Source organism: Homo sapiens, chromosome 22 (genome assembly GCF_000001405.40).
Source record: "Homo sapiens chromosome 22, GRCh38.p14 Primary Assembly".
In the NCBI taxonomy this organism is placed as follows: Eukaryota; Metazoa; Chordata; class Mammalia; order Primates; family Hominidae; genus Homo; species Homo sapiens.
Window position 1 is genome coordinate 30,057,057 of NC_000022.11, and position 26,956 is coordinate 30,084,012.

The window sequence follows — 26,956 nt, forward strand, 5'->3', positions numbered from 1 at the left end:
CACAAAGAGCTTATCTGAAGAAATAATAGCCTAAAACTTCCCAAATCTGAGAAAGAAAATGGACATCCAAAGTCAAGAAGCTCAGCCAGGTGCAGTGGCTCACACCTGTAATCCCAGCACTTTGGGAGGCCAAGGCAGGCAGGCAGATCGCTTGAGCCCAGCAGTTCCCAGCCTGGGCAACATGGTGAAATCCCATCTCTACAAAAAATACAGAAATTAGCCAGGTGTAGTGGTTCACACCTATAGTCCCAGCTACCTGGGAGGCTGAGGTGGGAGGATCCCTCAAGCCCAGGAGGTTGAGGCTGCAGTGAGCTGTGATCACACCACTGCACTTCAGCCTGGGCAACAGAGCAAGATCCTGTCTCAAAAAAAACCCAAAAAATTCAAGAAGCTCAAAATATTCTAACCAGAATGAACCCAAATGGGCCGGCAAGAGATGTGTTATAATAAAACTGTCAAAAGTCAAAGACAAAAAGAGAATCTTGAAAGCAGCTAGAGAAAAGCAACTCATCACATACAAGAGAGCTCCCATAATATTATTAGTGGATTTCTCAGCAGAAACCTTACAGACCAGAAGGGAGTGGATGAATTTAATGACATTTTCCAAGTGCTAAAAGAAAAAAACCCAAAAGGGTGGGCATGGTGGCTCACACCTGTAATCCAAGCACTTTGGGAGGCTGAGGTGAGAGGATTATTTGAGCCCAGGAGTTCAGGACTAGCTTGGGCAACACAGGGAGACCCGTCTCTATACATTTTTTTTTTTTTAAATAAAAATCAGCTGGGCACGTTGACATGTGCCTGTAGTCCTGGCTACTTAGGCGGCTGAGGCAGGATTGCCTGAGCCTGAGAGGTTGCAGTTGCAATAAATCATGATTGTGCCACTGCACTCCAGTCTGGGTGACAGAGTAAGACCCTGTCTCAAAAAAAGAATAAAAAAGAAAAACTAGTAACCAAGAACACTATATCTAGCAAAACTATTTTTCTTTTTCTTTTTTTTTTTTTTTTGAGACAGAGTCTTGCTCTGTTGCCCAGGCTGGAGTGCAGTGGCACAATCTCGGCTCACTGCAAGCTCTGCCTCCTGGGTTCACGCCATTCTCCTGCCTCAGCCTCCCCAGTGGCTGGGACTACAGGTGCTGGCCACCACGCCCGGCTAATTTTTTGTATTTTTAGTAGAGACGGGGTTTCACCGTGTTAGCCACGATGGTCTCAATCTCCTGACCTCGTGATCCGCCTGCCTCGGCCTCCCAAAGTGCTGGGATTACAAGCCTGAGCCAGCAAAACTATTTTTCAAAAATGAAAGGAACTAAAGACCCTCCCAAATAAACAAAAGCTTAGGGAGTACTCACCACTAGACCTGCCTTATAAGAAATGCTAAAGGAATTCTTTCAAGTTGAAACTAAAGGATACTAGATAGCAACACAAAAGCATATAAAAATATAAAGCTGTCTGGTAAATATATAGACAAATACAAAATCCTGTAATACTGCAATGGTGGCATATAAATAACATTTAATTCTGGTACAGAATTAAAAAGGTAAAATCATAAGAATAATTATAACTATAAAACTATATTAATGATACAAATATAAAAAGATGTAATTTATGACCTTGATAACATAAAGGGGGGATGTAAAGGAGTAAAGTTTCATATGCAATTGAAGTTAAGTTGTTATCAGTTTAAAATAGATTGTTATAAGATGCCTTATGTAAAACCCATGGTAACCACAGAGGAAATACCTATAGAAGATTAAAAAAAAACTGACAAAGGAATCAAAGCATGTCACTACAAAAAATTAATGAAACACAAAGGAAGACACCAAGAGAAGAAAAAGGGGACAAATTAACTACAAGACATTTAAAAAGAGAAAGAAATGGCAACAGTAAGTCCTCCTCTATCAGTAATTGCTTTAAATGTATAATAGATTAAACTCTCAAATCAACAGACATAGAGTGGCTGAATGGATTTAAAAAACAAGATCCAACTATATGCTGTCTACTGGCTCAGTTTAGACATAAGGACACACAAAGGCTGAAAATGAAAGGATGGAAAAATATATTCCATACAAATAGTAACCAAAAGAGAGCAAAGAGGCCACACTTATATCCAACAAAATAGACTTTAAGTCAAAAACTGTCACAAGAGACAAAGAAGAACATCATATAATGATAAAGGCATTAATTCACCAAGAAGACATAAGAATTATATATGTGCCTAACATAAGCGCATCCAAATAGCTATAGCAAACATTAATGGAATTGAAAGGAGAAACAGACAGTAACACAAAAATAGTAGATTTCAATAACCTATATTCAACAATGGGTAGAACAACCAGTCATAAGATCAATAAATAAATAAAAGATTTGAACGACACTATATACCAATTGGACCTATACAGAACAGTCCACCCAATAACAGTGATAATGGTGAATACCCATTTTTCTCAAGCATACATGAAACATTCTCCAAGACAGATCACTTGTTAAGCCACAAAACAGGTCTTAACAAGTTTAAGAAGACTGAAGTCATACCAGGTATCTTTTCTGACTACAATGAAATAAAACTAGAAATCTATACAAAAGGAAAACTGAAAAATTCCTAAGTATGTGGAAATTAAACAACACATTGGAATAAACAATGGATCAAGGAGGCACTCACCAGGGAAATTCAAAAATATCTTTAGACAAATGAAAATAAAAAAGATCGCCCGGCCAGCCGCCCCGTCCGGGAGGGAGGTGGGGGGCAGCCCCTGCCCAGCCAGCCGCCCCGTCCGGGAGGGAGGTGGGGGGCGCCTCCGTCCGGCCGCCGCCCCGTCCGGGAGGTGGGGGGCGCCTCTGCCCGGCCGCCCCTTCTGGGAAGTGAGGAGCCCCTCTGCCTGGCCGCCACCCCCTCTGGGAGGTGTACCCAACAGCTCATTGAGAACGGGCCATGATGATGATGGCGGTTTTGTGGAATAGAAAAGGGGGAAATGTGGGGAAAAGATAGAGAAATCAGATTGTTGCTGTGTCTGTGTAGAAAGAAGTAGACATAGGAGACTCCATTTTGTTCTGTACTAAGAAAGATTCTTCTGCCTTGGGATGCTGGTGATCTATGACCTTGCCCCCAACCCTGTGCTCTCTGAAACATGCTGTGTCCACTCAGGGTTAAATGGATTAAGGGCGGTGCAAGATGTGCTTTGTTAAACAGATGCTTGAAGGCAGCATGCTCCTTAAGAGTCATCACCACTCCCTAATCTCAAGTACCCAGGGACACAAACACTGAGGAAGGCTGCAGGGTCCTCTGCCTAGGAAAACCAGAGACCTTTGTTCACTTGTTTATCTGCTGACCTTCCCTCCACTATTGTCCTATGACCCTGCCAAATCCCCCTCTGCGAGAAACACCCAAGAACGATCAATTAAAAAAAAAAAAAAGAAAAGAAAAAAGAAAATAAAAAAGATCAAGAATCTGGCCAATGATTCCAAGGATGATCAAGTTTAGTGAAAAGAATGAGATTTGTAATAAGTTGATCTGAGTTTGAATCTCCAACTTTACCACTTACCAGTTGCGTGTCCTTAGACAAATATTTCAAGTTCTCAGCAATTGTTTCCTAACAAGTTTAAAAATGGGTATAATCATAATTTCCCCATAAGATTGTTGTAGCATCAAATGAAATAACACATTAAATGGGACCTTATAAATTGGAAGGCTTGAATTGTCACTATTCTTTGCCCTCTCTGCTGCCTTTCAGCTCTCACTGTCACCCTAATTGTGGTTATTGCTCAGGTGTTCTATGTCATGTGTTGCAGCTGGAAAACAGAATTTCTTTTCTTTTTTTTTTTTCTGAAAAAAAAAGAGTGAGACAGAGTTTCACTGTTATTGCCCAGGCTGGAGTGCAATGGCACAATCTCGGCTCACTGCAACCTCCACCTCCCAGGTTCAAGGGATTCCCCTACCTCAGCCTTCCAAGTAGCTGGGATTACAGGCATGTGCCACCATGCCTGGCTAATTTTGTATTTTTAGTAGAGACGGGGTTTCTCCATGTTGGTCAGGCTGGTCTGGAACTCCTGACCTCAGGTGATCCACCTGCCTCGGCTTCCCAAAGTGATGGGATTACAGGCCTGAGCCACTGTGCCTGGCCCAGAAAACAGAATTTCTTACCCACAAGGACTGTTCTCTTCTTATAGCTGTTAATGCTCATGTTGCAAAGAGCAGAACTTAGAGCATTAAACCAAGATTGTAAAACTTGATTGAGTCCTGGATTGCTATACGCAATGTTTAGTCTGCACAGATCCAGGTCCATAAACTTTTTTTTTTTTTTGAGATGGAGTCTCACTCTGTCGCCCAGGCTGGAGTGCAATGGCACCATCTCGGCTTACTGCAACCTCCGCCTCCCGGGTTCATGTGATTCTCCTGCCTCAGCTCCCAAGTAGCTGGGATTATAGGCCCATGCCACAACCTCCAGCTAATTTTTGTATTTTTAGTAGAGACGGGATTTCACCATGTTGGTCAGGCTGGTCTTGAACTCCTGACCTCGTGATCCACCTGCCTCGGCCTCCCAAAATGCTGGGATTACAGCCATGAGCCACTGTGCCCGGCCTGGTCTATAAACTTCTAAGTATTTTCTCATTTGTGAAAAAGCGAAAGCAGGTTAGGCGTGGTGGCTCACACCTGCAATCCTAGCACGTTGGGAGGCTGAGACGGGCAAATAGCCTGAGGTCAGGAGTTTGAGACCAGCCTGCCCAACATGGTGAAACCCCATCTCTACTAAAAATCCAAAAACTAGCCAGGTGTGTTGGTGCATGCTTGTAATCCCAGCTACTTGCGGGGACTGAGGCAGGAGAATTGCTTGAACCCAGGAGGGGGAAGTTGCAGTGAGCCAAGATTGCGCCATTGCCCTCTAGCCTGGGCAATAGAGCAAGACTCTGTCAAAAAAAAAAAAAAAAGCGAAAGCAATCTGTGCACTGCCTGTCTCTGAGGGTGGTTGTGCTGATCATCGGAAAATATGTATGGGAAAGCATGCTTAAAATGTGATTATTTTTATTGGCCCATCGGACATGTGGTAGCAAAACAAAGTTTTAAAAAATACATCATAAATATACCTCAGCCCACAAAGATCAACCTTAAGTGGACATCTTCAAATACAATATGTAGGGACCAAGGGAAAACTTCCCCTTTCCCCTCTGAATGTTTACTGAAAATCAACTGACTAAAGGCAGATTATAGGAGAAAAGGCAAACAAATCTATTAATGTGCATGGGGAGAATCACAGAGTGATCACCCCACCATGGGAAAGGGAGATGAGGAAGTGTGGATGATGTTGGGGGGATACTAAATGATTTTTTAGGGAATTCAATGGACTTGAAGAACATATAATGGCCTGGAACAAAGTCCGTTGGGCCCACAGAGCAGACAATGGTTTGTGACAAAAGTCTGTCCAGCTGTGTTGACAGACTTCAGTCTTTCTTCCTGCAATATAAGTTCAGTCAATGAAAACTCAGGGAAGGGACCAGAGGCAATTATTTTTTTCTTTGGTGGGTTCAGACTTTAGGCAGATAAGGAAACTTTATCCTGTGCTTAGGGAGAGACAGAAGATTAGGAGACAGTAGTTGGGGGCGGTGGGCGGGGGAGGTAGAAAGAGAGGGGAAGATCAGAGAGACCTTGAGAAACTACTTTTTCAGTTCAGCATGTCAAAGCACCGTATTTTGGGGCATCAGTTTCTGAGCACCGGCAGAAAAAAGTTGGTTTCTTTAATGAAGCCCAATGTCACTAAGAACTTTAAAGACACAGTGACAATGTTACCTAGAATGTTTCATAAAAGTCCTTATAATCCTTTTAAACTTCCCAAGTAAAAATCTTTCTCATTTTTCGGTGACTATTCTGAAACTATTCTCTCTAAGACTCCAGGATCACACTTAACCCTCTCTGAGCAGATGACCCCTCTATAAAAGAGGAGATAATATCCTTATACTCTCTCTCTTTCATCTGTCCTATAACACCTATACCATATCAATACATCCTTAGCACCTTCAATCCTGTGTCAGAAAATAAAGGCCCTCTGATTGTACACAAGGCGGGTCTTCCTGATCAAAGTCCCTCTTGCTTCCTCTAGGACTTTATGCTCTCAGTTACTCCCCACACTATCCTATATGCAGGCACTCCCTTGAGACAAGGTTTTTCTCAGTATACAAATATGGGCAAGTCTCTCCAAACCTAATCAGCCTTGCATTTTTTTAAAAAACTTTATTTGGTTAGGGAGGATACAATGATTAAATTATGCTTAGAAAAAAGTAGTGATATACAGTTTAAATTGGAAAGGGGGATAGCTAGAAGTCAGTTGCTTGGTTTGGATGCCTCTATAATAATCAAGGTAAGAAGGAACTAGGATCTGAGTTGGAGTGGTGCCAAGAGAATGAAAGGAGGGAATATTGAAAAAAAAAATTGTGTAATTAATACTGACAGGTCCTGGAAACTAAATAAATGTGGGATAGAGGGAAAAAGAAGAACAAAATAGAATGCTTTTCAAGCAGAGACTTCTACAGCCACACACAACAAAGAATACAGACTTTGCAAAATTAGTTCAGGGAAGTCACTACAGAAGCAAATGACAACAACAAGCCCTAGGGTGGGGAATATGATTTTCAGATTATTATATGATTTCCACATTACTTAAATTTTCCAATTTTCAACAAAATTCTAAGACATAGGAAAAAAAACAAGAAAGTATGACCATACACAGAAAAAAAAGCAGTCAAGAGAAATAATCTCTGAAGAAGCCTGGATGTTGGACTTAGTAGACAAAGACTATAAATCAGTTCATATATATATATATGCATTCTATTTTATTCTTCTTTTTCCCTCTATCCCACAATCATTTAGTTTCCAGGACCTGTCAGTATTAATTACACAGTGTTTTTTTGCAATATTCCCTCCTTTCATTCTCTTGGCACCACTCCAACTCAGATCCTAGTTCCTTCTTACCTTGATTATTATAGAGGCATCCAAACCAAGCAACTGACTTCTAGCTATCCCCCTTTCCAATTTAAACTGTATACCACTACTTTTTTCTAAGCATAATTTAATCATTGTATCCTCCCTATATGTTGTGTATATATATATACACAAAGAACTACAGAAAACCATGGGCTAAAAACCTAAAGGAAAATATGAGAATGATATCTTGCCAAATGTAGAATATCAATAAAGAGAAAGAAATTATTTTAAAAAAGAACTAAAAAAAAAAAAATTCTGGAGTTAAAAAGTATAGTAACTGAAATGAAAAATTCACCAGAGGGGATCAACAGTATATTTGAACTAACAGAAGAAGGAATCAGTGAATGTGAAAATACATGATTTGAGGTTATCCAGTTGAGGAGGAATAGGTGGAGGACACTATCAACTGTATCAATATATAGGCATAATGAAAGTTCCAGAAGGAGGGAAGTCAGATAAATAATATCCAAAGAAATAATGGCCAGAAACTTCCCAAATATAGTGAAAAGCATTAATTTACACATCCAAGAAGCTCAGTAAGCTACAAATAGAATAAAATCAGAGACCAATATGTAGATACATCATAATCAAATGATTGATGGTTAAAGACAAAGAGACAATTTAGAAACCAACAAGAGAGAAGCAATTAATCACATACAAAGAATCCTCCATAAGATGAATTCATTTCTCCTTGGAAACCATTTAGGTCAGAAGGTAGTGGGATAACATATTCAAGGTCCTGAAAGGAAAAAGTACTGTGAATCTAGAATTCTGTATCTTGAAAAACTATCCTTCAAAAACAAAGGAGAAATTAAGACATTCCCAGATAAACAAAACTTGACCTGCTCTACAAGAAATTCTACAGGGAGTCCTTCAGGCTGAAATGAAAGGAAACTAGTCAGTAATTCAAATCCACATGAAGAAATAAAGAACACTTTGGTAAAGGTAACTACAAAGCTAAATATAAAAGATAACATAAATGTATTTTTTGTAATTTTTTCTTCTATCTAATTTAAAAGACAATGGCATAAAGCAATACTAATAAAGTGGTGTTAATGGGCTTATAATATATAAAGAGGTTTACGTATGTTAAAAAATAGCATAAAGGGGCTCACATCTGTAATCCCAGTACGTTGGTAGACCGAAGTGGGTGGATTGCTTGAACTCAGGAGTTCAAGACCAGCCTGGGCAACATGGTGACATCCAGTCTCTATTAAAAATAACAAATATTAGCTGACTGTGGTGGCGCATGCCTGTAATCCCAGTTACTCAGATGGCTGAAGCATGAGAATGACTTGAACTTGGGAGATGGAAGTTGCAGTGAGCTGAGATCATGCCACTGCACTCTAACCTGGGCAACAGAATGAGACCTTGTCTCAAAAAAAAAAAAAAAAAAAGCATAAAGGAAGGGACAAGGAATGGAGCTACATAGAAAGAAAGTTTTTCTATAATAAATTCATTTTGTAAAATAAATTCACTCAATACATTGTATTAATCTGAACTAGATTACTACAAACTAAGATGTTAATTACAATCACCAGGAAACCACTAAGAAAATAACTTTAGGCCAGGTACAGTGGCTCATGCCTGTAATTCCAGTATTTTATGAGGCTGAAGCAGGAGGATCACTTGAGGCTAGGAGTTTTTTTGTTTTTGTTTTTGTTTTGTTTTTGATACAGAGCCTTGCTCTGTCACCCAGGCTGGAGTGCAGTGGTGTGATCTTGGCTCGCTGCAACCTCTGCCTCCTGGATTCAAATGATTCTCCTGATCTCAGCCTCCTGAGTAGCTGGGATTACAAGCAAGCACCACCACACCCAGCTAATGAGGCCAGGAGTTTGAGACCAGCCTGGGCAACATAGCAATATTCATCTCTACAAAAATTTTTAAAAATAAAATTAACTGGTTGGACATGGTGGCTCACACCTGTAATCCTAGCATTTTGGGAGGCTGAGGCAGGTGACTGGCTTGAGCCCAGGAGTTTGAGACCAGCTGGGCAACATGGTGAAAACCTCCCTCTCCCTCCCCCTCCCTCTCCCCCTCTCCCTCTCCCTCCCTCTGTCTCCCTCTCCCTCTCCCTCTCGGTCTCCCTCTCCCTCTCTTTCCATGCTCTCCCTCTGATGCCAAGCCGAAGCTGGACTGTACTGCTGCCACCTCGGCTCACTGCAATCTCCCTGCCTGATTCTCCCGCCTCAGCCTGCCCAGTGCCTGCTATTGCAGGCACGTGCCGCCACGCCTGACTGGTTTTCGTATTTTTTTGGTGGAGACGGGGTTTCGCTGTGTTGGCCGGGCTGGTCTCCAGCTCCTAACCGCGAGTGATCTGCCAGCCTCGGCCTCCCGAGGTGCCAGGATTGCAGACAGAGTCTCGTTCACTCAGTGCTCAATGTTGCCCAGGCTGGAGTGCAGTGGCGTGATCTCAGCTAGCTACAACCTCCACCTCCCAGCCGCCTGCCTTGGCCTCCTAAAGTGCCAAGATTGCAGCCTCTGCCCGGCCGCCACCCCGTCTGGGAAGTGAGGAGCGTCTCTGCCTGGCCACCCATCGTCTGGGATGTGAGGAGCTCCTCTGCCCGGCTGCCCAGTCTGGGAAGTGAGGAGCGCCTCTTCCCAGCCGCCATCCTGTCTAGGAAGTGAGGAGCGTCTCTGCCCGGCCGCCCCGTCTGGGATGTGAGGAGCGCCTCTGCCTGGCTGCGACCCCGTCTGGGAGGTGAGGAGCGTCTCTACCCGGCCGCCCCATCTGAGAAGTGAGGAGCCCCTCCTCCCGGCAGCTGCCCCATCTGAGAAGTGAGGAGCCCCTCCGCCCGGCAGCCACCCCATCTGGGAAGTGAGGAGCGTCTCCGCCCGGCAGCCGCCCCGTCCGGGAGGGAGGTGGGAGGCAGCCCCCGCCCGGCCAGCCGCCCTGTCCGGGAGGGAGGTGGGGGGCGCCTCTGCCCGGCCGCCCCTTCTGGGAAGTGAGGAGCCCCTCTGCCTGGCCGCCACCCCCTCTGGGAGGTGTACCCAACAGCTCATTGAGAACGGGCCATGATGATGATGGCGGTTTTGTGGAATAGAAAAGGGGGAAATGTGGGGAAAAGATAGAGAAATCAGATTGTTGCTGTGTCTGTGTAGAAAGAAGTAGACATAGGAGACTCCATTTTGTTCTGTACTAAGAAAGATTCTTCTGCCTTGGGATGCTGGTGATCTATGACCTTGCCCCCAACCCTGTGCTCTCTGAAACATGCTGTGTCCACTCAGGGTTAAATGGATTAAGGGTGGTGCAAGATGTGCTTTGTTAAACAGATGCTTGAAGGCAGCATGCTCCTTAAGAGTCATCACCACTCCCTAATCTCAAGTACCCAGGGACACAAACACTGAGGAAGGCTGCAGGGTCCTCTGCCTAGGAAAACCAGAGACCTTTGTTCACTTGTTTATCTGCTGACCTTCTCTCCACTATTGTCCTATGACCCTGCCAAATCCCCCTCTGCGAGAAACACCCAAGAATGATCAATAAAAAAAAAAAAGAAAAAAAAAAGAAAACCTAGCTCTATAAAAAATCCAAAAAAAAAAAAAATTTGCTGGGCATGGTGGCACATGCCTGTAGTCCCAGCTATTCAGGAGGCTTAGTTGGGAGGATCACTTGAGCCCAAAAGTTCAGGGCCGCAGTGAGCTATGATTGTGCCACTGCACTCCAGCCTGGATGACAGAGTGAGACCTTGTCTCTAAAAAAATAAAATAAATTGCCTGGTGCAGTGGCTTATGCCTGTAATCCCAACACTTTGGGAGGCCAAGGCAGGTGAATCACTTGAGGTCAGGAGTTTGAGACCAGCCTGGCCAACATGGTGAAACCCTGTCTCTACTAAAAATACAAAAACTAGCAGGATGTGGTGGTGTGCGCCTGTAGTACCAGCTACTCGGGAGGCCGAGGCACGAGAATCGCTTGAACCCGGGAGGCAGAAGCTGCAATGAGCTGAAATCGTGCCACTGCACTATAGGCTGGGCAAAAGAGTGAGACTACATCTCAAAAATAAAATAAATAAATAAATAAAATAAAATAAATCTAAAAAGAAAATATTTTTAGAATATATAGGAAAAGAAATGACAAGAAGTTAAAATGGCACATTGGAAAATATCTACAAAAAAAGCAGTAAGGGAGAAAGAAATAAAAACACATAAGACATATAGAAAACAAATAGCAAAATTACAGACATAAATCCAACCTTGTTAGCAATGGATTAAGCACTCCAATCAAAAGGCAGAGATTGGAAAAATGGATAAAAACAACATGATCCAACCATATTCTGTCTATAAGAGATACAGTTTATTTCACTTATTTTAATCTTTTGAAATGATTCAATCTTGTTCTGTTGCCCAGGTGGGGTGCAGTGGTGTGATCACAACTCACTACAACTTTGAACTCCTGGTCTTAAGCAATCCTACCCCAGCCTCCCAAGTAGTTGGGACTAAAGGCACATGCCATCCCACCCAGCTAATTTTAGAAAGTTTTTTTAGAGATGGCATCTGTATTGCCCAGGCTGGTCTTGAACTCCTGGGCTCAAGCGATCTTTATCTCTCTCCCCACCCTTTTTTTTTTTTTTTTAAGAAACAGGATCTCACTCTGTCATCCAGGCTAGAGTGCAACGCACAATCATAGCTAACTGCAGCCTCAAAATCCTGAGCTCAAGTGATCCTTCCAACTCAGCCTCCTGAGTAGCTGGGACTACAGGTGCAGGCTACCAAACTCAGCTAATTATTAAGTATTTTTTTTTTTTAGAGACAGGGTCTTATTTGTTGGCCAGGCTGGTCTTGAACTTCTGGCCTCAAGAGATCCTCCCACTTCAGCCTCCCAGAATTCTGTGATTATAGGAGTGAGCCACCACTCCGGGCCCATCTGGCATTTTTATTATTGTCAAAGAAAAGAGCTGGAGTAGCTATACTTATACCAGACAAAAAAAGACTTTAAGATAAAATGTGTTACTAGACACCAAAAAAGGACATTTAATAATGATTTTAAAAGTCAGTCTATCAAGAAGATACAGGCTGGGTGCAGTGGCTCATGCCTATAATCCCAGCACTTTAGGAGGCCGAGGTGGGTGGATCACTTGAGATCAGGAGTTCGAGACCAACCTGGCCAACATGGTGAAACCCTGTCTCTACTAAAAATACAAAAATTAGCTGGGTGTGGTATGGGGTGCTTGTAATCCCAGCTACTCAGAAGGCTGAGGCAGGAGAATCGCTTGAACCTGGGAGTTGGAGGTTGCAGTGAGCCAAGATCATGCCACTGCACTCCAGCCTGGGCAACAGAACAACAACAACAAAAAAGAAGATACAACAATTAGAAACAAATATCTACCTAACAACAGAGCCTCAAAATACATGAAGCAAAAAATAAATAAGGGGAGAAATAAACAATTCAACAATACTAATTAGAGAAATAATACTTCCCTCTCAGAAATAGATAGAACAACTAGACAGAAGACCAACAAGGAAATAGAAGACTTGAACAACACTACAAACTAACTAGATCTAAGGAACATCAATAGAACTTTCCACCCAAAACCAGCAGACTATACATTTTCTCAAGTGCACATGGAATAGTCCCCAGAATAGACCATATGTCAGGCTATAAAACAAGTGTCAATAAATTTAAAAGGACTGAAATCATACAATGTATATTCTGTCACTGCAAGCAATATCACAATAAATCAACAACTGAAGGAAATTTGGGAAATTTACAAATATGTGGAAACCACAAAACACACTCCAAAATACCTATTAGGTCAAAGAAGAAATCACAAGAGATACTAGAAAATACTTTGAAGTGAATGAAAACAAAAACACAATGTAGCAAAATTAGGGCTGGGCATGGTGGCTCAGACCTGTAATCCCAGCACTGTGGGAGGCCAAGGCTGGTGGATCACCTGAGGTCATGAGCTCGAGATCAGCCTGTCCAACATGGTTAAACCCCATTTCTACTAAAAATACAAAAAGTAGCTGGGTGTGGTGGCATGCACCTGTAATCCCGGCTGCTCGGGAGGCTCAGGCATGAGAATTGCTTGAACCTGGGAGGTGGAAGTTGCAGTTAGCTGAGATTGCACCACTGCACTCCAGCCTGGGTGACAGGGCAAGACTCCATCTCAAAAAAACAAAAACAAAACAAAACAAAAAAACCCCACCAAAAACAATGTAGTAAAATGTATGAGATGCAGCTAACACACACCTAAGTGGGAAATTTATAGCTGTAAATGCTACATTAAATAAAGACCTTGAATAAATTACCTAATCTTACATTTTAAGAAACTCAAAAAAGAAGAGAAAACTAAATCCAAAGCAAGCAGAAAGAAGGGAATAATACAGATTAGAGTAGAAACAAACAAAATTGAGAATAGAAAAACAATAGAGAAAATCAATAAAACCAAAAGTTGTTTCTTGGAAAAAAAAATCAACAAAATTGACAAATCTTTAGCAAGGCAGACTAAGAAAAAAATTAGACTGAAGTTACTAAAATTAGGATTGAAAGAGGTACATTATTACCAACCTTACAGAAATAAAAGGGATTATAAGAGAATTTTATAAATAATTGCATGACAGCCAGGAGCAGTGGCTCATGCCTGTAATCCCAGAACTTTGGGAGGCCAAGGTGGGTGGATCACTTGAGGCTAGGAGTTTGAGACCAGCCTGGGCAGCATGGCAAAACCCTGTCTTTACCAAAAATACAAAAAAAGATAGCCAGGCCTGGTGGTGTGTGCCTGTAGTCCCTGCTAATTGGGAGGCTTGAGGCATGAGAATTGCTTGAACTGGAAGGCGGAGGTTGCAGTGAACTGAGATCACGCCACTGCCCTCCAGCCTGGGTGATACAGCAAGACTCCATCTCAAAAAGAAAAAAAAACAACTGTATGCCAACAAATTAGGTAAACTAGATGGAATGGACAAATTCCTATAAAGACACAAACTACTGAATGACTCAAGAAAATATAGATAACCTGAATAGGCCTATAATAAGCAGAGATTGCATTAGTAGTTAAAAACAACAACAACAACAACAACAACAACAACAACAAACCTTCCACAAAGAAAAGCCCAGGACCACATGGCTTCACTGGTGAATTCTACCAGATATATAAAGAAGAATTCACACTCTTCCCAAAAAATAAAAGGGGAGAGAACACTTCTCAATGCCTTCTATGAGATGGGTATACCAAAACCAGAAGAAAGAACATCACAAGAACACTACAAATCAATATCCCTTATGAATATAGACACAACACTCCCCCCAAATAGTGGCAAACTAAATCCAATAACATATAAAAAGGAATATACACCACAAACCACATGGAATTTATCCCAGGATTGCAAGGTTGGTTCAATATATAAAAATCAATTTAACATACTAAGGATAAAGGATAAAACTCACATGATCAATAGATGTAGAAAAAGTATTAAATAAAATCCAATATCTTTTTTTTTTTTTTGAGATGGAGTCTCTCTCTGTCAGCCAGGCTGGAGTGGCATGATTTCTGCTCACTGCATCCTCTGCCTCCCGGGTTCCAGCGATTCTCCTGCCTCAGCCTCCTGAGTAGCTGGGATTATAGGCGCCTGCCACCACACCTGGCTAATTTTTGTATTTTTAGCAGAGAAGGGGTTTCACCATGTTGGCCAGGCTGGTCTCAAACTCCTGACTTCAGGTGATCCGCCCGTCTTGGTCTCCCAAAGTGCTGGGATTACAGGTGTGAGCCACTGTGCCTGGCCAAAATCCAATATCTTTTTATGATAAAAAACATTCCACAAACTGGGACTAGAAGGAAAGCCATTAATATGATAAAGGGCATCTACAAAAAGCCCCAGCTAACATCATACTTGTTGGTGAAAGACTGAATGCTTTCCCCTAAGAAAATTCCTTATCAGGAATAAGACAAGGATATCTGCTCTTGCCACTTCTATTCAATATTGTACTGGAGGTTCTAGCCGGGGAAATTAACCAAGAAAAATAAATAAACGGCACCCAGATTAGAAAGGAAGAATTAAAACTATCTTTATTTGCAGATGACAAAATCTTGTCTATAGAAAATTCACAAAAAAATTGGTGAGAACTAATACAAGTTCAGCAAGGATACAGGATGCAAGATTAATATACGAAAAGCAATTATTTTTCTATACACTAGCAATGAACAATCCCAAAATGAGATTAAGAAAACAATTCCATGTATAATAGCATTGTTAAGGACTGAATTATGCCCTCCCCAACCCCAATTCATATGTTGAAGCCCTAACCTCCAATGTTACTATACTTGGAGACAGGACCTTTAAGGAGGTAATTAAGGTTAAATGAGGTCATAAGGGTGGAGTGCTAATCCAAAGGGACTGGAGTCCTTATAACAAGAGGAAGAGACATCAAAGACATCTCTCTCTCCACATATGCACAGAGAAAAGACTATGTGAAGACACAGCAAGGAGGAGGCAGTCTGCAAGCCAGGAAGAGAGGCCTCACCCAAAACCAACTCTGCTGGCACCTTAATCTTGGACTTCCAGCCTCTAGAACTGTAAGAAGATCAGCTTCCATTGTTTAAGCCACACTATTTGTGGTATTCTGTTATTGCAGCCCAAGCAAACTAATATAAGCATCAAAGAAAATAAAAATCTTAGGAATAAATTTAACCAAAGAAGTGTAAGACTTGTACACTGAAAACTATAAACATTGTTGAAAGAAATTAAAGAAAACCTATATAAATGGGAAGATATCCATATTTGTGGATTGAAAAACAATATTATTCAGATAGCAATGCTCCCCAAATTGATCTACAGATTCAATGTAATCCCTATCAAAATCTCAGTTGCCTTTTTTGGCAGGCAGTAACAAGCTGATCCTAAAATTCAAATGGAAATGCAAGGGACTCAGAATAGCCAAAACAATCTTGAAAAAGAAAAAAGTCAAAAGATATACTTCTCGGATTTCAAAATGGCCAAGAAGCAAATGAAAAGATGTTCAACACCATTAGTCATTAGGAAAATGCAAATCAAAACCACAATGAGATATCATTTCACACCCAGTAGGATGGCTGTAATTTTTTTTGAGATGGAGTCTCACTCTGCTGCCCAGGCTAGAGTGCAGTAGCACAATCTGGGCTCACTGCAACCTCTGCCTCCCAGGTTCAAGCAATTCTCTTGCCTCAGCCTCCCAAGTAGCTGGGATTACAGGTGTGCACCACCACACTTGGCTAATTTTTGTATTTTTAGTAGAGACAGGGTTTCACCATGTTGGCCAGGCTGGTCTCAAACTCCTGACCTCAGGTGATCCACCAACCTTGGCCTCACAAAGTGCAGGGATTACAGGCATGAGCCACCACACCCAACCTATAACTTTTTTTAAAAGGGGAAAATGACGAAGCAAAGATATGGGAAAATTGGAACCCCTTATACGTTGCTGGTGAATGTAAAACAGTGTAGTTGCTTTGGAAAGAGTTTGACCATTTCTCAAAAAGGTAAACATAGAGTTACCATGTGACGCAGCAATTCTGCTCCCAGATATATATCCAAGAAAAATGAAAACATATATCCACACATAACCTTCTACATAAATGTTCATAGAAGTATTATTCTTCACAGCAAAAGGGTGAAAACCTAAATGTCCGTCAACTGATAGATGTACAAAATGTGGTAAACATGGGATACTTTTTAGCCATAAAAAGGAATACATGCTACAGCATGAATGAATATTATACTTTAGTTATTAAGTGAAAGAAGCCAGATACAAAAGGCCATAGTGTATGATTTCGTTTATATGAAATATCCAGAGTAGACAAATCCATAGAGACAGAAAGTAGATTAATGGTTGACAAGGAATAGGGGAGGAAGGAATGGGGGAATGACTGCTAATAAGCATGGGGCTTCTTTTGGGGGTGATGCAGGTGTTCTGGAATTAGACAGTGGTGATGGTTGCACAACTTTGTGAATCAGCATACTAAAATATGCTGATTTGTATATTTTAAAGTGGTGAATTTGATCTATATGTTTAATAAAATATACTGGTTTTTTTTTCCTTTTAAAGAGACAAGGTTTTGCTCTGTTGCCCAGACTGCAGTGCGGTGGCACAATCACAGCTCACTGCAGCCTCAACCTCCTGGGCTCTATCAATCCTTTTGCCTCAGCCTTCTGAGTAGCTGGGACTACAGGTGCATGCCACAATGCTCAGCTAATTTTTGTATTTTTTATAGAGACGGGGTTTCACCATGTTTCCCAGGCTGGTCTCAAACTCCTGGGCTCAGGCAATCCTCCCTCCACACCCTCCCAAAATACTGGGATTACAGGCATGAGCCACTGCACCCAGCCCCCAATGCCTCTTAAGACGGTAAATCTTTCTGTGCTGTGCATTAATGTGACTGAGGTTAATATTGCCCCTGGCACGTTTAAGAACATGGTTTCCACAGAAATCTGGCTTTTTGGGAGGAAGACAGTTTCCTTAGATGTAAGTTCTAGCAAACCTGTAAAGGAGGACTTCTTCCAAGTCTCTTTCTCCCTTCCATTTTTAAAGGTAGGTAGGTAATTTTCCTGTGATGTCTTACACTTTCCAGCTGTTTAACCTTTCTTTTGGCAGGAAGAAATTGGCCTTTGTTAGTTTAATGAGAAGAGGTGTAAGAAAAGTCTGCCTCAGATTTCTTGTGTTATTGTGTTCAGTTTATGCAAAGATCATAAGTATTCTGATCTTAAATTTGGGACCTTCGCAATCAGAGATCATCAGTATTTACAAATTTAACTTATCACGAAGTTATATCAACTAAGGGAAGAAAAACAAGCCCCTCATGGGGCTGAGCCTGCAATATGGTCGTATAGGAATTCTAAACCATGTTTTAGGTAACCGTCATTTTCCAAGCGCCAAGAAGTGTAGAAAATAAAGGGCCTCAAATTATAGGCTGTCAATAGTGTGGAGCATTTTGTACATCACCTCATCTAGATCTCTGTGCAGATGTACCAAGTAGCAATCATGGAAAACTAGTTTAAAGTCGATTTCATTTGAAACTTCTATTAAGTGATAATCATTAAGGGGAATAACATCATTTTACACGTCAACGAAACTTCACATTCAGAAGACAGAATCAAGTAGCTAAATAGAACATTTCCATAATGCTTGAGAATTCAATATCTTTCTTGACATCATTTCTTAGTCTAGGCACTCAAGCAAGCAGCAGCTTTACACTTACAGCCCCTGTCATTTCCTGTTCTAGTTCATTAAACCCTAGGCTTTCCCCAAAAACTCACAACCCTCATGGAGATCCTTCTGCCAGTCAGAACAGATTCATTTGAAGGAGGCAGAAATTGATATGCAGCTCTGAGTGAGGATGACGGCCATAATAAATTGCCACCTACACATGGAATTATATTTTGTAGGATGACACTATGTGGGCAGAAGCAGCAGGAATTATGTTTAGACCTTATAGTTGGGGACTTATTTCATATTGACTGCTTTCTCCTTGGCTGCCAAAGGATGGATAAAGTTCAGAAGCTACAGCTCGGTTGGCAACTCTTTACCTTTGCCTTTCTTTCTACAAAATACCCCAAATAAGCTAGCAATATAGCCAGTTCACACGCAAAGGCTTGAATCAAAACTACAGTTCTCTAAATCATTTTGCTTCTCTTTTCTCGGTGATGCTTAAAATTCTAGGATTTCAGAGTCACGTTCATAAATACATTTATAAGCACCAGTGACCACTCCCTGCAATCAGATGGCTACTGCATGCTCCAATGGAAACCAGAATAAAAAGACATCCCGACATAGAAATGAGCGCTTAAAATAAGGCAGCTGAAAAGAAAAAGCCACATTTAACTTAACCTTACTGAGGAAGGGGACAAAGATGAGGGAGGACTCTCTCTACTCAGCTTTTCTCTTAATCGTAAGTGAGACACTTGGAATTGCAAAAGCAACATTTAGCTTTCAGAAGCATGTTGCTGCCAGGAGTGGAAAGAAAGGATCTTACACCTCCTTTTCTCTCCTCATTCTAAAGTGGTGGGCAAAATGTCTGCTTTTATTGGTTTGAGGTATTCTAACCATTGCCAAAGAACAAGTAAAGAAAATGATATACACATGCTCTCCTCCTAAAAATGTCACCTCTTTTGTAAAGCTGTCTTGATTCCCAATTCAGAATGTGTAGCTTCCTTCTCTACATTCTATCATATACTTTATACCTCCATTAGTATCACAGATCTCCCTCTCTCACTAAACTGTAGAATTCCATAGTTTGGGGACCAAGTCATTACCTCTGTGATCCCCGCAGTGCAAGGTAGAGTGCTTTATTAATGGTAGGTACAAAATAAATGCTTGATGAATGAATGTGGTGGTGTCAACTTCATAACTGGACATTATGCTTTTCAGAGTTCCAATAAATGTTGAAAACAAATAAAGAAACTACCCTTCCTACTTAGCTGCTCCCTCCATCCCAATCTCTTTTTCTCTATATTTGGTATCACGATTGTGTACACTGAAGAGGGAGACACATCTAATGGGAAATATCCTCCTGGGAAGATATTTTATATTCAATATTTCTATTTTGATAACCCTCCAATGAACCATTTTTTGGGGGAGGATTTCCAAGGTTAAACTGAACTTGATGAGCAGAGTTCCGATCATTTTAGGTAGGCAAAAGATAGCTCTGCTGGCCAGGCGCAGTGGCTCACGCCTGTAAACCCAGCACTTTGCGAGGCTGAGGTGGGCAGATCACTTGAGGTCAGGAGTTCGAGAGAAGCCTGGCCAACATGGTGAGACCCCGTCTCTACCAAAAATACAAAAATTAGCTGGGTGTGGTGGCGCATGCCTGTAATCCCAGCTACTCAGAAGGCTAAGGCAGGAGAATAGCTTGAACCCGGGAGGCGGAGGGTTGCAGTGAGCCGGGATTGCACCACTGCACTCCAGCCTGGGCGAGAGAGTGAGACTCCATCTCAAAAAAAAAAAAGATAGCTCTGCTTCTGGTGACACAGTGCACTGTCAGATGCCTCGGAATAAACTATAAAGGTCTAAAAACTGAAAGCATGACGCCAAGACTCCCCTAACCAGGTGCTGCCTATATGAAATGATCAAGAAGAACAAGAAAGAAACCCTGAATTCTTTTTAACTAACAACGAAAAATGGTCCTTAGCCCTCAAAAAACAAAGCTCAAACTAGAGACTGATTGGTGACTGACAACTGTTTCAGGTACAGAGTCAGGTGATGTAAATGTGTCTAAAGAGAGAAAGGTCAAATTTAGCCAATGAAAGTCATCTCAAATAAGATTCCCTCCTCTATTTTCACCTGTGTCATGTGTTATTTTACTACTGGGGTTTGGCAAAACTTCAGCTGGAGACTTTTTACCTTTGTCAAAATTCTGGTTATTTGGAAATTTCTAAACTGATCAAGTTCTGCCACAATGCACATTTTCTACTTGCAAAACAAACAAAATGCTTTGACAGGGACAATTCCCAGTCTCTTATCACTGAAAGGTACAAAGGAAGCTGGGAAGTTGTTTGAATATCATATAGCACTTTTGAGTTCATTAGGCCATTATCCCCAGGGCTGTATTTAATCAAGATGAAAAAGCACAGGCTCAAAGCCTTTTTAGTTGACAAGAAGCGAGTATTTGGCTTGGGACTTCTGTGTCTGAGTTGTAAGTCAGGTTCACAGAAAAGTAATCAGAAACTAGCCTGACTGGAGACAAGAAAGAGTCTCAAAATAAGAGGTATGAGACCATGGGTTGTACATGTGACCCGGCCTCTTAAGAAGCTTAGGGACCTTGAGCAAATTACTTATATTCTCATCTGTAAAGTAAAGGACTAGACTTGGAGTATTTCTAAAGCCCCCTGTAACACTGTCAATGTTTAATTATCTAATGTTGTTCCTTAAGTAACCGATTCATTCATTCAACTATTTGAATACCTTCAATGTTCACTGAGGAACAGTTAATTCAGGTATCTATTTGAATACCTTCAATGAACATAATAAAAGAAGTAAAAATAACAGCTCTTGACCTCAAGGAGTTAAGCCAGCGGTAAAGATGAAGGCTTTACCCAACAGCTCCTAGCACAGGGGCCAGGCACAGGGGCTTATTAATCCATTCCTTTGGTCACAAGGAGCCTGCCAAATGGTGAGGAAGGAAAGAAGTAAGAGAAACTCCACAGAAGCTCTTCGGAGGAAAACAGGGTAATTTATAATTTCAGTCCACCAATGTCTATTGAGTGCCTACTGTGTGTGCCAGCACTGGGCATCCTGGGGCGACTCCGCCAGATCAGGCCTCTGATGACACTTACTTACTTATTCCAGGTGATAGAGAGAAAAAAACAAAACAGGTTATCAAAGAAATGAAGTCCATGGCTGGGCTTGGGGGCTCAAGCCTGTAATCCTAGCACTTTGGGAGGCTGAGGTGGGTGGATTGCTTGAGGTCAGGAGTTCAAGACCAGCCTGGCCAACATGGTGAAACCCCATCTCTACTAAAAATACAAAAATCAGCCGGGCATGGTGATGCATGCCTGTAACCCCAGCTACTTAGGTGGCTGAGGCAGGAGAATCACTTGAGCCTGGGAGGTGGAGGTGGCAGCGAGCCAATATCACGCCACTGCACTCCAGCCTGGGTGACAGAGCAAGACTCTGTCTCACAAAAAAAAAAAAAAAAAAAAAAAAAAAAAATTAGATTGAGAGAAATTCTATGAAAGAAACAGAATAACGAATAACTGTGTTTGCTGGTGGGGTAGACTGCCAATAGTATAGGGCAGAGAGGGGTAAGTCTTTGGATATGGTAGCAGTTGACTGAGCTCAGATCTGAAGGCAGAAGAAAATTAGAACAGCCAGCACAGAGGGCCTAGTGATCCAGCCAGAGAGGCTGGTAAATGCGGAGGCTGAGAAGGGCTGGTGCAGACAAACCATCTGTGTGGTTGGAGCTTAAAAAGCAGTTACTTCCGGAAAGTATAGGGTGAACGCAGTAGTTCTCAACAGAGGGCAATTTTGCACACCCCATGGGACATTTGGCAAAGTCTAGAGAAATTTTTGGTTGTTATGATGGTGGGGGTGGGGAGAAGGTTGAGAAAACTTGCACTAAAAGAATATTTCAGCCCAAATTTCAGTTTTAGTCATTATGTTCTAAACTCATGTTCTCGCCAACTTGAATAGTTTTTTTTTTCTTTCCTGCAGAAACAAAATAAGAACAGGTTTCAAGTGGCTCACTCTTTCATCTACTCTCTTGGGAAATCCCCTTGGGGAGGTTCATGGGACTCCAGGAGCCTTTGGAAAGCACCACAGGATACGAAATATCTACCTAAACAGGTGAGAAACGATCCAAGGAGCCACACCCCCAACTGCTCCCACAGTTACCAGGGCAGAAAAAACTGAGATTAGGGGTAGGGCACAAAGGAGAATATATTTATGTTTTATTTGCATAATTACAAATTAATGTTAAAAAGAATGCAAAGTCAGGTCCAGGGTAGGGATGAAGAGGTTGCAGATGCCCTCAAGTATTGGAAAGCTCTGGCCTTCTGGCCTTATGTCTTTTTTCTTTCTTTTCTTTTTTTTTATTTTTGAGACAGGGTCTCCCTCTGTTGCCCAGGCTGGAGTGCAATGGTACGATCTTGGCTCACTGCAACCTCAAACTCCCCGGCTCAAGCGATCCTCCTACCTCAGCCTCCCGAGCAGCTGGGACTACAGGCGCACGTCAGGTGGCCCAGCTAATTTTTGTACTTTTTAAAATTTTTTTGAGACGGAGTCTCGCTCTGTCGCCCAGGCTGGAGTGCAATGGCGGAATCTCGGCTCACTGCAACCTCAGCCTCCTGGGCTCAAGCGATTCTCGTGCCTCAGCTTCCCAAGTAGCTGGGACTACAGGCGCGCGCCACCACGCCCAGCTAATTTTTGTATTTTTTGTAGAGACGGGTTTTCAACATGTTGGCCAGGCTGGTCTCGAATTCCTGACCTCAAGTGACGCGCCCGCCTCAGCCTCCCAGAGTGCTGGGATCCCAGGTGGAGCCACCGCGCCGCACTTCTCGGGCCTTCTTCTAACTCGGGTCCCTGGGCCCCCCAGGCTCTCGCTTCCCTCCCCTACGCCGCCCCGCGCCCGCCTCAGACCTCTCTGGGACCCGCCGGCCTGGCGTCCTGGCCCGCCCGAGCCCCACGGTCCCTCGGGTCCTAACCTCGGCGGGGCAGGCACCTCCTCAGGAAGCCCCGGAGCAGGCTGTCGTTGTATAGGTGGCCCAGGCTGGCGGCCCCTGACCGAAGGTCGCGTCGGGTCAGTGTGCAGCCCGTGGCTGAGAGGCGGCTGCTGAGGGGCCGGGCGGGCTAGGGGCCGGCTAGCCGCCGTTCGCCCCTGCTTTGCATATTCATGAAGTCTAGCGAGGCCGGTCGCCCAGGCTAGCCGTGGACGGGTCATGAATTATTCATGAGGAAACCTCTGGTCCCGCCCAGAAAGGCCTCGTTGACTATTCATGAGCCGAGGAGCGGGTTTGGGCCGGAAAAGGCCGTTGACCCCCGGTGGGAGGGAAGCGTCGACGAGCTGAGGTGAGGGCTGTTGAGACGCGAGGTCTCGGCCCAGAGAGGGCACTCGGGCGTTGTTAGTTCTGTCTTTATGTCAAAAAACAATTTTTTTTTCTTTTCTTATTACTTAAGGCTTTAAGTTGGATTTGAAAGTATCATATTTCGTGAGGGCCTAAAGTACTGTGAAGAGAATCGGGAGGGCAGGGGGCTGAGGAGGAAGGCAAAAGGGAGGCGATTTCCCCCAGAACTGGACAGAGAGCACCCAGGTAGTTTTGAAATTCAGATTTTTCTGGACATGAAATCAAACTTGCTGAGCAAGCAGCAGCCATAATGAGCCATGATGAGGCTGGCAGGGCAGACGATGTCTGTGCCCGACATTGGAGGGGGCCGTGTGTGGTGGAGCTTTGGGGAAGTTTATCTTACCTGGGTCAGATTCTCCCCAGCCATTGAGGTTTTCTGCCAGGATCGATGCCTGGTACAGGCCAAGAGGTGAGAGAGGTGGGGACAAGACACCCCGCCCCCCTTGACCTCAGCTCCCCTTTCACTTTAGTGAGGATTTGCCAATTAATCCCTATGGACTTTAGTTCCCTAAACAGAGGGAGAGAGTCTTGAACCTCAGGATTAGCCAATCGCCAAAATGTGTCCGAGTACGCAGGGCACTGGACAGGCTGTGCAGTACATCGTGTACTCAGCTGGTAGAAATGAGGGGTGGTTCTGGCCCCTAAAGGGGTTTTTAATCTCAGCAGGATCATAATCTAATTTCTCCTCCATTGGACCATCAATCTGTTGAGGTAGGAACAGTATTTTACATCTCGTAATCCTGCATGTTGTTGCCTGGCACATTGTAGTTGCCTCGTAGATGTTGAATGAATGAATAATTGAAATAGCATGAAAAAGATATTAAAAAGTCAAAAGAGCATGAACAAATACTCAATTAATATAGTGGAAGCCATTTTCTCTGAATGAGCACAGGTAGGGGAATTACCAGGGCCAAATGGAATTTGTTAAAATGGTGAATAATTTATTGAAGCAAGCTCTGTTGGAAGGTCTAAGTAATTGGGCGAACTTTGGCAAACCAAGTTCCCTTGCTTAGCCTCACTTTCCTTTTCTTTTTTCTTTTTTTTTTGTGAGATGGAGTCGAGCTCTGTGCCAGGCTGGAGTGCAGTGACGCAATCTCAGCTCACTGCAACCTCCACCTCTCGGGTTCAAGCGATTCCCCTGCCTCAGCCTCCCATGTAGCTGGGACTACAGGTGTGCACCACCACGCCCAGCTAAATTTTTTTATTTTTTTTTATTTTTAGTAGAGACAGGGTTTCACCATGTTGGCCAGGATAGTCTCGATCTCTTGACCTCGTGATCCTCCCACCTCGGCCTCCCAGAGTGCTGGGATTACAGGTGTGAGCCACTGCACCTGGCCCCTTTTCTTTATAGTTTTATGTTTAGGTTTAAATCCATGATCCATTTTGCATTAATATTTGTATACAGTGTGAGATTTAGGTTAAGTTTCTTTTAATTCTCTGTTCTTCCCCCCACCCTCCAGATGTCCTTTTGTTTCAGCATCATTTGCTGAAAAAAAGATTCTTCCTCCACAGAATTGGATCTTCTTTAAATCAAAGGGGTTGGAAGATGTCTGTGCTCCCTTCCAGCTTTAGGAATCTATTGAACCCATTTATGTTAACGTACACTTCTTTTGAGTAAAGCCATTCTTAACAACATGCATGTGTAAGGAAGGTAATATAGTTACATTTCAGAATCCAGCTATTGGATAGTGTTCACCTGATAGAAAAGGGATTTTCTTGTAAAAAACGGTTTTTGAAGATTGAGAAAGATGGGTAGAGAGCCTTCATAAATCAACTATGATTATATTTGGGAAAATGTAATAAAACTTTGGCTTTTGCTTCACTTGGAATGGTTAAAAAAGTGGTTTAGGCCTTAGTAAACTAAACAGCAGCTGGCTAATCTTTATGTGAATCTTGGACTCACACATAGTAGGGGTAAAATAGGAAGTAATTGTGCCACCATATAAAATAGGGCAATTGAAGGCGTGGTGTGGTGTCTCATATGTGTAATCCCAAAACTTTGAGAGGCCAAGAGTTCGAGGCCAGTCTGGGCAACATAGTGAGACCTCCCCCTCCACCCGCCCGCCCAACTCTACAAAAATAAAAAATTTTTAAAAATTAGCAGGGCATGGTGGTGCATGCATATAGTCTCAGCTACTTGGAAGGCTGAGATAGGAGGATCACTTGAGCCCAGAAGTTTGAGGTTGCAATGAGCTGTGATTATGCCAGCCTAGGTGACAGATCATGCCACCGCACTTTACTCTGTCTCAAAAAAAAAAAAAAGAAAAGAAAAGAAAAGAAAATGAATACACAACAACAAAAAAAATAGGGCAATTGAGATATAGGTCAAGAGGTAAGCCTAGAGTGAATCTTTACCAGAAAGAGCATAGAAATATTGCCTCTTTCTCAAGAAGATCATAATCCTTGTCACAAAGTAGACATATCAAATGTAAGAGTGAGGGTCAGTTGCAGTGGCTCACACTTATAATCCCAGCACTTTGGGAGGCTAAGAAAGGAGTATTGCTTGAGCCCAGAAGTTCAAAACCAGCCTGGGTAACATAGTGAGACCTCATCTCTACCAAAAATAAAATTTGCTGAGTGTGGTGGCACATGGCCTCTAGTACTAGCTACTTAGGAGGCTGAGGTGGGAGGATCACTTGAGCCCAGGAGGTCGAGGTTGCAGTGAGCCAAGATTGCGCCACTGCATTCCTGCCTGGGTAAACAGAGTAAGACCTTGTCTCAAAAACAGAAGAGGGAATGGTATTGATGAACTGTGAAGTTTCAAATATGTGTGGATCTAATTTGCAAACAAATATATAAGAGAATGACATTGCAAAGTTAGCTTTCAGTTCTTAAAATCCATAGTTATGAAATCTCTTCTAGGTTTTTAGATAATGAGCCTGAACAAAGGGATAACACATAGAAAAAATCAGACCTATTCTCTGAGAATGCATGCTCTCTAGAGTCATACCTCCTGTGAACTTGTGAGCTTTTAAAATTAAGCAGGGTTTGTACTTAAATAGAAGACCTCCACAAAACACCTGCTCAAAGGGAAAACAGTAGCAACAGAATAATTAGAGGCTGAAAGGAGTCTGGCTTTTTTTTTGAGACGGAGTTTCACTCTTGTTGCCCAGGCTGGAGTGCAATGGTGCAATCTCGGCTCACTGCAACCTCCACCTCCCGGGTTCAAGCAATTCTCCTGCCTCAGCCTCTCAAGTAGCTGGGATTACAGGCACCCACCACCATGCCCAGTTTTAGTAGAGACGAAGTTTCACCATGTTTTTTGAAAAAATAATTTAGATCTTTTTGCCTTCCTGAAGCAAGCTCATGCTAGAACACTAGAAAGAGACCCTCCCATGTTTAGAAATAAGTAGGCAAGCCGAAGAACTAAGGAGGCCCTGGTAGTACATCATATTAGATAGAATGAAAGCAAAGGAGAATTTCATTTTGGAGAGTCAGTCTGGAAAAACTTTTAAATTGTGAGCC

General features: G+C 42.6%; 1 protein-coding gene and 1 long non-coding RNA gene across 9 annotated transcripts in view, besides 5 other annotated features; one reads left to right on the forward strand and one right to left on the reverse strand.

Moving 5' to 3' along the window:
- HORMAD2-AS1 (HORMAD2 and MTMR3 antisense RNA 1) overlaps positions 1–23,201 on the reverse strand; it is a 71,512-nt gene extending 48,311 nt beyond the window's left edge. The window contains exon 1 of the long non-coding RNA NR_110541.2: positions 23,072–23,201. This is a non-coding gene — a long non-coding RNA (HORMAD2 and MTMR3 antisense RNA 1). The remainder of the gene's footprint in view (positions 1–23,071) is intronic.
- HORMAD2 (HORMA domain containing 2) overlaps positions 20,676–26,956 on the forward strand; it is a 129,725-nt gene continuing 123,444 nt past the window's right edge. For 3 of the 8 annotated variants that reach the window (XM_011529914.3, NM_152510.4, NM_001329458.2), the window contains exon 1: positions 23,408–23,435. The gene's annotated coding sequence lies outside the window, so the exon portion shown is untranslated. Of the gene's footprint in view, positions 21,099–22,082; positions 22,215–23,407; positions 23,678–24,157; positions 24,203–26,956 lie in introns of those variants that run through there. The other 5 variants (XM_047441154.1, XM_047441156.1, XM_047441155.1 and 2 more) reach the window with 5 other exon arrangements.
- Positions 21,440–21,559: a silencer, noted in NCBI's record as "silent region_13600". NCBI's record gives its function as "represses an Ori minimal core promoter by ATAC-STARR-seq in GM12878 lymphoblastoid cells {active_cell/tissue: GM12878}" and the evidence as "EXISTENCE:reporter gene assay evidence [ECO:0000049][PMID:35858748]".
- Positions 21,610–21,689: an enhancer, noted in NCBI's record as "active region_18825". NCBI's record gives its function as "activates an Ori minimal core promoter by ATAC-STARR-seq in GM12878 lymphoblastoid cells {active_cell/tissue: GM12878}" and the evidence as "EXISTENCE:reporter gene assay evidence [ECO:0000049][PMID:35858748]".
- Positions 22,864–23,561: an enhancer, noted in NCBI's record as "OCT4-H3K27ac-H3K4me1 hESC enhancer chr22:30475909-30476606 (GRCh37/hg19 assembly coordinates)". NCBI's record gives its function as "activates a minimal SCP1, AML or CMV promoter by ChIP-STARR-seq in primed H9 embryonic stem cells {active_cell/tissue: H9 hESC(primed)}" and the evidence as "EXISTENCE:reporter gene assay evidence [ECO:0000049][PMID:30033119]".
- Positions 23,009–23,058: a silencer, noted in NCBI's record as "silent region_13601". NCBI's record gives its function as "represses an Ori minimal core promoter by ATAC-STARR-seq in GM12878 lymphoblastoid cells {active_cell/tissue: GM12878}" and the evidence as "EXISTENCE:reporter gene assay evidence [ECO:0000049][PMID:35858748]".
- Positions 23,399–23,478: an enhancer, noted in NCBI's record as "active region_18826". NCBI's record gives its function as "activates an Ori minimal core promoter by ATAC-STARR-seq in GM12878 lymphoblastoid cells {active_cell/tissue: GM12878}" and the evidence as "EXISTENCE:reporter gene assay evidence [ECO:0000049][PMID:35858748]".